This window comes from Homo sapiens, chromosome 4, assembly GCF_000001405.40.
Source record: "Homo sapiens chromosome 4, GRCh38.p14 Primary Assembly".
Lineage (NCBI taxonomy): Eukaryota > Metazoa > Chordata > Mammalia > Primates > Hominidae > Homo > Homo sapiens.
The window spans coordinates 71,766,930-71,779,296 of record NC_000004.12 but is presented as its reverse complement, the minus strand read 5'-3'; the positions used below and the strand labels follow the sequence as shown (position 1 = coordinate 71,779,296).

General features: G+C 35.9%; 1 protein-coding gene across 4 annotated transcripts in view; it reads left to right on the top strand.

Moving 5' to 3' along the window:
• Nucleotides 1–12,367, top strand: part of GC (GC vitamin D binding protein) — a 63,828-nt gene that overhangs the window by 26,224 nt on the left and 25,237 nt on the right. For all 4 annotated transcript variants that reach the window (NM_001204306.1, NM_001204307.1, NM_001440458.1 and 1 more), the window contains 2 exons: nt 9,897–9,966; nt 10,864–10,996. In NM_001204306.1, the coding sequence (NP_001191235.1) occupies nt 9,897–9,966; nt 10,864–10,996 (203 nt within the window). The remainder of the gene's footprint in view (nt 1–9,896; nt 9,967–10,863; nt 10,997–12,367) is intronic.

Sequence of the window (12,367 nt, the reverse complement as noted above, 5' to 3'; positions counted from 1 at the left end):
TTAGCACCTAGTACCTTACCTTATCACTGGTTGTTCATTTGCTTATTGTAACAAATATAGAATGCAAGCCTTGTGAAATTAAGAACTTTTGTTATTTCCTGTAATTCCCAGTAATAGAACATTACTTGGCATTTAGTAGGTGTTCAAAAAATTATTGTGTAATATTACAAAATTGGGTTTTTGTATATGTATGTCTACCATCAGACTCAGGTTCCTTAAAGATTGGTGGCTTTAGAGTTTTCTTTCATATGATGCCATGCTCCCAGGAGATAGCTGATGTGTCTGTGTGTGTTTTTGTGTGTGTGTATAAATAGGTATGTACATAAATATATACACTCATATGTATAAAAATGATCATGAACTGGATTTAGCCAATAATAATAATAATAATAATAATAATAATAACTGACAGCAATATTCTGTTTCCTGAGGATACAATCTTCATTTTACAAATGAGAAAACTGAGGAAGAACAGAGAGGATAAGCAACTTGCCAGCGGTCTCACTATCACCTAGGGTAGCAGGAATTCAAATCCAGGTGGTCTGTATCCAAAGCCTCTATCTTAAATCATGATAAAATACATCCTCATATGGATGTTTTCTTTGGCCCTCATGGTTTGGGCCAACAAAGTTTCTTTAAGTCTGTCTTTAAAGTCTCATTTCACTTGTCAACATTTTAAAACCTGGAGATTCCACAAAAAAATCTAGATTTCTAGCTTCTCTGGAAACACAGGAATGTGTGGTAATAAGGGCCAAATTTTCACATGGCAATGATGAACTGGAGCTGAATTGTCACTCCTCCTTTTGGACTAAACCCTCAGTTTTCACCACTGAGCATTTAATGCTTTCTTCCCTTGGATCAAATGTAAGTTGTGTGGTTCCTAGATCCTATGAGCATTTGGGTTTGCTAACCTGGGTGTCATGGTAAAATAGTAACTTGAGGTTTAACACTACCTAAAGAAAATAATATTAACAAATAATTGTATCTTTACATTTAAAATAGGCAAAATAATTAGTTACCAGTCATTTTTATTCTCTATAAATGAAATCACATATGAATTGTTTAAATATGTTTACATTTAACAAATTGTGTTTTTCATCTTAGAGAAGTGAAACTTACATAACTTTTTTTTGAAAGCTGATTTAGAAAGATTTATTGGAATATACAAGGAGTGTTATGTAGTTATACATGTCTTTCACATTCATATCTGCTGATGCAGCTGAATTCCTATGTGGGTTTTATTTTGTTTTTTTTTATATATATATAAACTTTAAGTTCTGGAATACATGTGCAGAACCTGCAGGTTTGTTACATAGGTATACATGTTCCATGGTGGTTTGCTGCACCCATCAACCCACCATCTACAGTAGGTGTTTCTCCTAATGCTATTCCTCCCCTAGCCCTCAACCCCCGACAGGCCCCAGTGTGTGATGTTCCCCTCCCTGTGTCCATGTGTTCTCACTGTTCGACTCCCATTTATGAGTGAAAATATTTTTATATGGAAATAACTGTGATTTTTTTATCTATTAAAAAATACAATAGCAAGAGCACAGTCTTAGAATAACCATTTCAGTCTTCAAATTTTACTACACGAAAGTAAATTTGTTATTTTGATATTATCAGTTCTGCTGCAAATGTTAGGTAATAATTGGTTTTAAAATGAAAATACTTTTATTTGACAATTGCATACTAGATTTTAAAAAATATAAATAACAAAATACATGGTTGGATTGTTGACTAGGCTAACATTGAAGTGAGTGTTCCTTTTAAGTTTTCTTAGCAAATATATCTAAGGAATTATATCCTGGTGGCAATTGGAATGTAATATCTAGTATATATCCTATAGAAAACATTGGCATTCCATTTTCCATCTACATGATACTGCAAAGCTCATTATTAATTTATTTGTTTAAAAGGCTCTCTTTAGCCTTACTAAGACAAATGAAGTGCTATAAAAGCACTTAAAGCAATGTATATCACAATGGTTAACACAAAATAGCATTGAGTACTTGATAGTGAAATTTCCCATTTAAATTACAGTTCTTACAATTGTCCAATAATAAGCCTTCAGTTTCTTACTGGGATTTAATAAGAAAATTAGAAAATTATATTCCATTCATGAAAAAAAAATTCTTGCTAACACATCACTATAGCAGACAAGCACCATAAAACTCTTTTGGCCATACTAAAAATTAATATATAAATATCTACTTTTTATAATTTTAAAAAGATAAATTACTAATCTTTGAAATAGAAATTTTCCTATACAAGATAATGCAATCTGTTGGACTTCAAATGCATTTAAATGGCTCGGGGATCTGTTTGACAAAAACATGTGTGATGATAGAGACATAAATAATGATACACATCCAATATATCCTCTCCATTAGATTGCATAATTTGATTTCGGTTTATACAGTATAACTTCAGTAGTCATTAAGACGTGTATTTTGTTAGGAAACAGTGAAAGAAAATCACCCATGTACAGTGTTTTCTGGTTTAAAATGTACTGTTTTTTAATTGGCAAATTATAATTATATACATTTCTGGGGCACAATGGAATAGTTTGATATCTATATATAATGGGGAATGATAAAATCATCAATGAACTCCTCTACCATCTCACTGCTTATCATTTTTTCTGAGGCATTTGAAATTTACTCAAGTTATTTTGAAATATAAAATACATGATTAACTATAGTCACCCTGACGCAAAATAGATCTCAAAACATTCCTCCTGTCTAACTGAAATTTTGCACTATTTTCCCAGCAGCTCCTCATTCCCTCCCTCCTCTTCTCCCTGCAGCCTCTAGTAGCCATCATTTTACTCTTCTGTGAGTTCAACTTTTTCAGATTCCATATATGATATAATGCAGTATTTTTCTTTCTGTACCTGGCTTATTTTACTTAACATAATGTTCTCCAGGGTCATCCATGTTGTCACAAATGACAGAATTCCCCTCCTTCTCTTTTTAAGGCTGAATAGTATTCAACTGTGTAAATACATCACATTTTCTTTATCCATTAATCTGTTGATGGACACTTAGGTTGTTTCAGCATCTCGGTAGCTGTGAATAATGCTACAGTAAACATGGGAGGGCAGACATCCCTTCAACCTGTTAATTTATATTTCTTTGGATATATACCCAGAAGTGGTATTGTTAAATCATATGGTAGTTCTATTTTTAGTTTCTTGAGAAACATCCATACTGTTTTCCATAATGGCTGTACTAATGTATATTTCCACCAACAGTGGAAAAGAGTTCCCTTTTCTCCACATTTTTGCCAATGCTTATCTTTCAATCTTTCTGGCAATAGCCATTCTAACAGGTGTGAGGTGATATCTCATTGTGGTTTTAATTTGCATCTCCTTAATGATTCCTGATGCTGAACATTTTTTATAAACCTGTTGGCCATTTGTATGTTTTCTTCTGAGAAATGTCTGTTTGGGTTCTTTGCTAATGTTTTAAATCGGTTATTGGTTTTCTTGTTATTGAGTTGTTTGAGTTCCTTACATATTTTGTATATTAACCTGTTATCAGATATGTGGTTTGCAAATATTTTCTCCCAGTCTGTGGGTTGTCTCTTCACTTTGTTAATTTTTCTTTTGCTGTGCAGTAGCCTTTTAGTATGATGCAATCCCATTTGTCTATTTTTTGCTTTTGTTGCCTGTAATTTCAGCGTCATGTCCAAAAAACTCATTGCCTAGACCAACATCATGGAGCTTTTCCCCTATGTTTTCTTGTATTAGTTTAACAGCTTCAGGTCTTACATTTAAGCCTTTAATCCATTTTGAGTTGATATTTTCTCAAGTTTTAATTGAGATAGATCATACATGGCTAGCCAGGGAGGCAGAATCACCACCACTTACTGTTTATATCACCTTATCAAAGGAGTGCCATGTGGAACTATGACTGTGCCAGCCCTTGTTGAATGATACTTTCTTCAGATTTTATAATACTTGCTTAATGAAGTGACTTTTATGGGAATGTCCAGAATTGTGCCAGGCATCCAGGACCTAAAAATTTAGACATGATCTTTGCCCTGAAAGAACCTTCATGGAAAATAAAGACAATTTTGCTTAAAGGCAATATTAGTATATGCTGCCTTTATAAGATCTATTAGCAAACGTCTAGTGAGTATTACTTCAAGTCTCTGTCACTACTAAGACCAAAGCGCCTGAGTCTTTCAACCAATCTGCTCACCTTTCTATTTTCCTGTGCCAAACCCTGCAAACTTTTTCATTTAAAAAAAAAAAAAAAAAGGGCCGGGGAAGAAAATGAAGAATAAGAATGACTTTTTTCCAGGACTGATAGTCAAAGATAAAGATTTTTAAACAGGCATGAATAATAATGAATCTTTCGATACCATAAAAAGAATATCACTAAATTTCAATAGAGTAATTCTCTAACTCATGGACAAAATGTACTCAAAAAGTTATATGTTATTTAGAAGTTAAAGTACAATTTTTCATAGAAATAATTTAAATATGAGATGAAGTTCTTAAAATGATGCATAAAAATAGGTAGTAAACATGGGATGTAAACTGTGATAACCACAAACCTCATAAAATTTTTGTGAAGATTAAAGCAAGTAATACATGTCAAATATTTAGAACAGTACCACCAAATTGTTGGCACTCAAATTTTAATTGTTATCATGATATTATTATTATTTATATTTATATTGCTGTAGAATCTAAGTGCTTCAATGTGTTCTAAGCGTCCAAATTAAATGCAGGGGATATCACCTTTACCCATCCCAAAAGTGGAAGAGGCAAACCTCCCCCTCTATCTTTACCCCTACAAAAGCAATTACAGATGAGGAGGTAACCAACCCACAAAAGGAAAGAGAGGTGGGATGAAATGCATGGAGAAAAAATGCTTCCTCTGGAACTTTGGTAAGTGTCACAAAGGACAGGCTACCACCCGAGGTGAACCCAAGGACATTAGTTTGAGTGAGTCTGTGATGCTGTCTCCTATTGCAGTTGCAGTTTCTGAGTAATTAACCCATTGACTATATATCTTTTGCTGTTTTCGTTTGTGTTTGAATTTTCAAAGTCTGAAAGGACGCTCAATTTGTTGCACTGATATCATCCTAAGAGGTACAGTTAACTTCTAGATTAGTTTATCTATAGATGTCATGTGGGTCTCTGGGTTTAGTATTAAAAGGGTTGAATTTCTTTTCATTGACTCAAGCTCAAACTTTTTCATTGGCAATATTTTTAGTGATACAGAAATCTCTTATAACCAGATCAGCTTCCTAAACCAGCTCAATAATGTTTACTATTTAAGTCAATTCACTACTGTGAAATGAACAATATCATGCCTGACTAGTTTGAATAAACACTGCAAACCATATTCTTAAAAGGTAAATTTATTTAAAAAAATACTAACAAATATACTGAGCTTTTCTGACATGGATGAGTCTGTCAGTACAGAATAGAAATAAAAATGCCAAAGAAATGAAATTGTGAAAATATAAAATGCCCAACAGAGCTGTTAAAGCCCATGATTCTCCAGAACACAATAGGAAAACAGCAACTTGAGATAGTTCCTAGCATCCTGTACGAGCACTTATTTATGTCAATGATATTTAGGATCCATTAATGTACTTGGTATACGAATAACTGTTCTAGGGAGCCAAATTAGGTTTTAGTGAAAGACTAGTAATAGTGAAGGCATCCAAATACCTACTTTAATAAACTTTGTAACAAAGCAGTATCTTATTAGCTATCCCCATTACAACGAAAGTTACATGAGGGCAAGGATGTGTCTATTTTGGGTTCCATTGTAAGTTCAAATTCAATATTGAACCCAATGCCTGGCACAAAGTAAGCCTCAAAAAATATCTGTTACATGTATGAATGAATATTGTCAACTCTGTTGGCAGAGGTAAGGTGCCTGAAGCAGCAAAGATTTCCTGAAAATAAATCACACTGGCTTTCAAAAGTTCAGAATTAAACAAGACTTACCAGAATGTTTCACAATATAGATAAAAAGTGAAACATGCTATTGCAGAAAGCAAAAATTCTGTTAGTGAAATTTGTAAACACTTAGTACTGTGGGGGGTCACTTCATGTGAAAGTGATTTCATCAGAGTCACTAAGATTATGCCAATATTTACTAGGGCCATATCAAAGTCCAAATCACCTTCTTTATAACCGAATGGTACATTTGAAAACAGAGCGTATAATTTTACAGTTCATTTGAGACAGGAATTAACTATATGAATTGGAGTGAGCTCAACTGGTTTTACACCAAAAACATTTATTAAGCAGTATTCCATGGAATGGGGAATCAATTAGTAATAATCACATTGCAAATTAACTTTAGTATTTATTTGCTGTATTTGAAAATTGAGACAATGATTGACATACATTGGCTTTGTCTTGTAAGCTAGATATCTTCTCTTTGGGCAAATGAATTTATAAAATTATTTTATCAGAAGTACATTTTGGGTAGCTCACCTGAAAGATCATGGTGCAACAGCTTCCTCTACAGGTTATTTTTATATTTTAATTCTGAGCTTTCTCAATATCCCTCTTGAGCTTCCTCCCTTGCTTCCTGTTATGCCCAAGGCTGAATGTTCCAGCAAAAATAGTTTCAAAACCTCTTTAAGCCTTATTCATTCCATCTAGTTTCCCACTTTTCTCTCATCAGTTTGCATTCTAACTAAAGCAGTATATAATGCCCATGAATTCTAAAGTGCTGTGTGCAAACACAAATAGTTAAATAAATTCAAACTATTTAATGGGATAACATGCAGTGCCCAGTTACACTACCTTCACATGCACACTCACATTCCCATAATATATGAAATGAAACTTTACATTTTTAGTGAAATGAGAAATCAGAATCTGGAAGGTTAGAAACAAAATATTTCTCAAAATGTTCATCGGGGGTACCCCATTTGAATACAGGATTTCACTTTGCATGTTATTGAATGGTCACAAGAGAAGTACTAATAAAAATAAACTCTTCCATTTTGTAGGGGGGAATTTAAACAAACTTAGCTCCTATTTATTATAAGGAAAAGAAGTTCTTATTAGGGCTATTTTGTGTATGTCTTAAAATACAGTAAGCCTTGGGAAAAAATATTCCTTATAATCTCTCGCTATTTTTAAAAGAGACTAGATTATAATCCCCAGCAAGTGATCTTATAGATGATGAGGATACATTGTACTAAATTCAGGGATCTTTACAATATATGGTTATTTAAATCTATTTTGATATTTACAATGATAAAACAAACTCACCTCTTCAAAAGGCTGCTTTCATTTCAGTTATAAAATAGACACAGTTGGAATAAAGATTTCTTACTAGAATCTACTGCCATGTAACTGCCAGACATTTCTCCTAGCTCTGCTTTAGGAGCAAACTAAAAACAACTCTTGACATCGTAAGTACAGCTCATCACCACATGAGGACAGTTCTAGCCCTAATTATTCTTCTCTGTGTTCTAGTCTTCAATTCCATAAAATACCATTAATGATTAATGGAAGTTTTCTGCCTTGCTTAACCTTTTGAACGTGTCACAATATCCAGCCTTGTAAACTAATCAATACATTTCAGAAAATGTACAAGATGTGAAGGTTCTCAGACATTACAGAGGTTTGTTGCAAGTGGTTTTTTTGGTTCCACTAACAATTAGCTTTATCAACTCTACTGCCTTGTCCTAGTTGCCAGAATAACATCAGATTCAGGATTCAGGTATGTGGGTTATTTTCCACCTTCTGTGTGGTTTTGAGGGTGTTTGAGTAGGTCTCTTGTTAAAAAGTGCTGCTGAAGAATGTCTTTTTCTCACAATTATCAAATCCGACTTTTCTCACCTCAAAAATATTTTGGGGGGGTATCCATCCAAAAAAGTACATGCTGCGACTGCTTCCTCTACAGGCAATCTGACATTAAACAGGTGACATTAATCTGATGAGTCCTAAAGAGAATCTTTAAAAAAAAAAATACAACCCTTTCAAGTCTGTATCTAATCACCACCACCTCCACTGCAAGCCATCAAATAGAAATTTCCACCCAGGCATATGTTTACACTGTCTTCCATAAAATTGTAACTGTTAGAGAGGAGAGGAAATCTTTGGGATTAAAGCCTGACAGCAGTTACCATCATATCACCTGAGATGACTTTCCCAACCCTTAAAGTGAGAAGGATAAACCACTAAAAGTTAAAGCCACTTAAAACAGAGTAAGCAATTTATATACTTCCTACATTTTTTTCCAAAGATATAACATCACAGGAGGGAAATTTCCTGGGCTTATTTGCATAAATGATGAGTCAGGTTAGGAGAACACTGACTGACTTTGATGTGTCCGCCCTATTACATATGTGATGGACATGTTGAACAAGGGGGTCTCATGATTAGTAACTAGCTCTTCCCTGTAGCGTGAATGAACTCAAGAGCAGGTACTGTGATTTTTCTGTTCCCTCTCAAATACCAATGTCATTTCATCATGAGAATGGCTAGTTACATTTAATAGTCAAAAATGTTTTAATTCATTGAAAGTTGAAGCTACTACCCCATTCAGGCCTGTTTCAGTTCTATTGCCTGTGGTGGGAAAGGAAGACACAGATACCTGCCTCTTGTCTCCTTTGCCTGTTCTCTTTTCCTCCTTCCTCCTACGCTCTAGGCTGCTTCTACCTCCTCCAGGGCTAACACAGGAAAGGAGAAGCTAGTAAGAGAGATAGCAGCAGGAAAAACTCAACTCAATGGGCAAAAAATTCAATGGGCAGCATGGTGAGCCAAGGTTGTCTCCTCTGGTTACCAAGATGTGTAAAGCTGCCGTTTTCTCTTACTGTGTTCTTCTGTGATCTCTCTCCCTTGTTATTCCTGGAGATCTCTCATATGCAGCTGGCACCTTAAGACTCTCCTCTGGGCCCCTGGTTTTCAAATTGTCTACCTCCACACAGAGACCCAACTGTTGGCAGTCCACTGCTCTGTAGATAGCACTTTGTTGGGGGTAGAGCTGGGACTGGGGGAAATATATTTAAGACAACTCCTAGCCAGCTCGCTCTCTTGCTTGAGCTACATCAGGTCTGCAGGTCACATGACAACTTCCCACCCAGTCCTCTGCTTTGTTCTCCAGGCCACTTAGCAAGCCCATCACCCTCTAGATTTCTCCAGCCTGAATCAGACACCTGTCCATTACACCCCAAATTCCAAGAGCTCCCTGTCAAGCGCTGAGTGGTTTCTTGAAGCCCTTGTCACTATGTGAAAGTGAAAGGAAACACTTCCCACCATCCCCCAGACTCACCACACTTTGTCTAAAATATTCTTTGCCTGATTTCCACCTTGTCCCCAGCTGAATTCCTAGCCTTCCCTTAGACAGCCAGGAGCCAAGTAGCAGAGCATGGGTGGCAGCACTAACTCTCCTGTACCTCCTTTAAAGTCCTGCATTAGTGGCACCAGCCCCTCACCTTGGAGTGGAGACAGTCTCCAATTATTTGTAGTTCTGTTTTTCTTTTCAGGCCTTAGGTAAAACTGAGACATTAAAAGAAGGAAGGGAGGAAGCAGGGTGGGAAGGAGGGAGGGAAGGAGAAAAATTCTCATTTTGGTATCATTATAAAGATAGGACCTAATAGTTGCCATATCAATAGCTTCTGACTCACTAGTTGACATGTATCATTTGACTCACTTACGTTCAGTATTAGTTTACTCTCTCCTTTTGTTCTGCTGGTGACTAAAATATAACAGAATGTCATAAAATTGTGGCCTGTTATGAGAGAAGAGCTAGAAAGGCCCCCAAAATATGAAATTGCATATAGACATTGAGAAAATACGACTTTCATTGTAGGCCACGTGGAAGATCACTTTATACATGTACATGTAACATAATATTCATCAAAAGGGGACACATACAAATTTTTCTATTTCTGCCTCCTAGGCCGGGATTATGAAAAGAATAAAGTCTGCAAGGAATTCTCCCATCTGGGAAAGGAGGACTTCACATCTCTGTAAGTGTGCAGCAGCCACTCACTCTGTTGGTGATTTGATCTTGAACAAAACTGAGTGTGAGGTAACTTTGACTCAGCATGGAGGTTAATCCTTAATCCTTGCCAAGAGTAAGAGGACAGAGCCCCAGGCCCAAGGTAGGCACAGGAGTCAAGCAAATTAAGGACATCCAGAGATTCCAGATGACCTCTGATTACCACAGTCTAAGAATTTGTCACCAGTAAGTTTATGAATGAGTTCAAAGATAATACGTAAAGCATAGCTTTCTAAGGTCATTAAAATGCAATTGTACATTCTAGGAATCTGGGAAACCAAGGCAATGAGGTACAGAGCAAGTACATTTGGGGAGGCTTAAGAAGGACAACACCAGATTGGTTTGATGGAAGCCCTAAGTTCAATTTCTACTGCTTTCCAAGATAAATTTGCCTAGAACAAAAACTGCTTTTTAAATTAAACCTCATTTTTTTCATTAGCCAAATAAAGAAGTAAATGTGTACAATATTTCATTTAAACATTGAACAGGTTTCATATTTTAATGTGCCAAAATGTAAAAAGAAAGTTTCAGTTCTGGTCGGGCACGGCGGCTCACGCCTGTAATCCCAGCCCTTTGGGAGGACAAGGAGGGTGGATCGCAAAGTCAAGAGATCTAGACCATCCTGGCCAACATGGTGAAACCCTGTCTCTACTAAAAATACAAAAATTAGCCGGGCGTATTGGTGCACACCTGTAGTCCCAGCTACTCGGGAGGCTGAGGCAGAATTGCTTGAACCTGGGAGGCAGAGAGTGCAGTGAGCTGAGATCACACCACTGCACTCCAGCCTGGGTAACAGAGCGAGACTCCGTCTCAAAAAAAAAAACCTTTCAGTTCTAATTGATATATTGTCTTATTTTCCCCTCAGGTCACTAGTCCTGTACAGTAGAAAATTTCCCAGTGGCACGTTTGAACAGGTCAGCCAACTTGTGAAGGAAGTTGTCTCCTTGACCGAAGCCTGCTGTGCGGAAGGGGCTGACCCTGACTGCTATGACACCAGGGTAGGTTTCTGTGGCTGGCCGTCTCTGTGGCAGCCCAGAGAAGGAAGCCAAAATAGGCCTTTATACCACGTGTTGAAAAAATTTTAGACAGCAACTCCATTTACTCCTAGTTTGGGGGAAATATGAAGCCTGTTGTGTTTACAGCCTGGTTTATTCTAACATAATGAGTCAATATTACCCATTATTCCTACAAGGTTCAAATGAGAAAACTGGGTCATAGAGTAATTTAGTGATTTATTAAATGTACATTGCTAGCAAGAAGGAGTTATAAAATATAAATCCAGATATGACTCTAAAACCTAAGTTTTTATCACCATACATTTGATCTTCTCAAATATCAGCCCATGGATCATTATTCTAAGTGAAGTAACTCAGGAATGAAAACCCAAATATCGTATGTTCTCACTTATAAGTGGGAGCTAAGCTATGAGGATTTAAAGGCATAAGAAGGATATAATGGACTTTGGGAACTTGGAGAGAAGGGTGAAGGGGGTGAGGGATAAAAAACTATACATTAGGTACACTGTACACGGCTCCGGTGATAGGTACACCAAAATCTCAGAAATCACCCCTAAAGAACTTAGCCATGTAACCAAAAACAAAATAGTTTTGTTCCCCCAAAACTATTGAAATTAAATATATATGTATATATACATTTTATATATTATATAATTTAATATATATATATATATCAGCTCATGAACCTCTTGAAAGAATTCTAAAATATTGTGTATAGCTTAAAAACCTGATCATAGCTTTATCCTCTTTTATCATCATGCCAGGACTGGTACCAAGTGCTCCAGAATAATTTAGTGTTGGTTTCAAATTTGGAAGGAGGATTCAAAAGTTGCCCTGTATGCACATAACTGAATTCTAGGTTTCTCCCCTATAGCACTTATGCAAAAATTAAAATGCTGACATGTTCAGACAGTAGCTGAAAAGGGTTAAATCTAAGGAGTTTCAGCAATTTATTAATGCAGTCGTCAGGCCTGATGCAAATGACATTTAGATGCATTTTGATAAAGGCTTTTACAGACAGATTTGTCTCACTGTTCAAGCCTTCAGCAGATATCATACAGAAACAATGCTCCAAAGATCTGATTAGAATAGATTCTACACAATGAATATTCTTACCCATTAATTGCTTTACCTGTCCCTTATCTATTTTTTCAGAATTTTATAATCCTTTTCTTCCACCAAGTTCATAAATATTTTTTATTTTAACCTGAACTTCTGTACCACCTTAAAATAAGAAAGCGTCAAATCATCAACATGACAGAGCACATTTTTATTTTATTTCATATATTTGCTAATACATCCCTTGATCAGAGATATGATCTGTCTCTACAATCCTGGAGCATAAGAAAACAG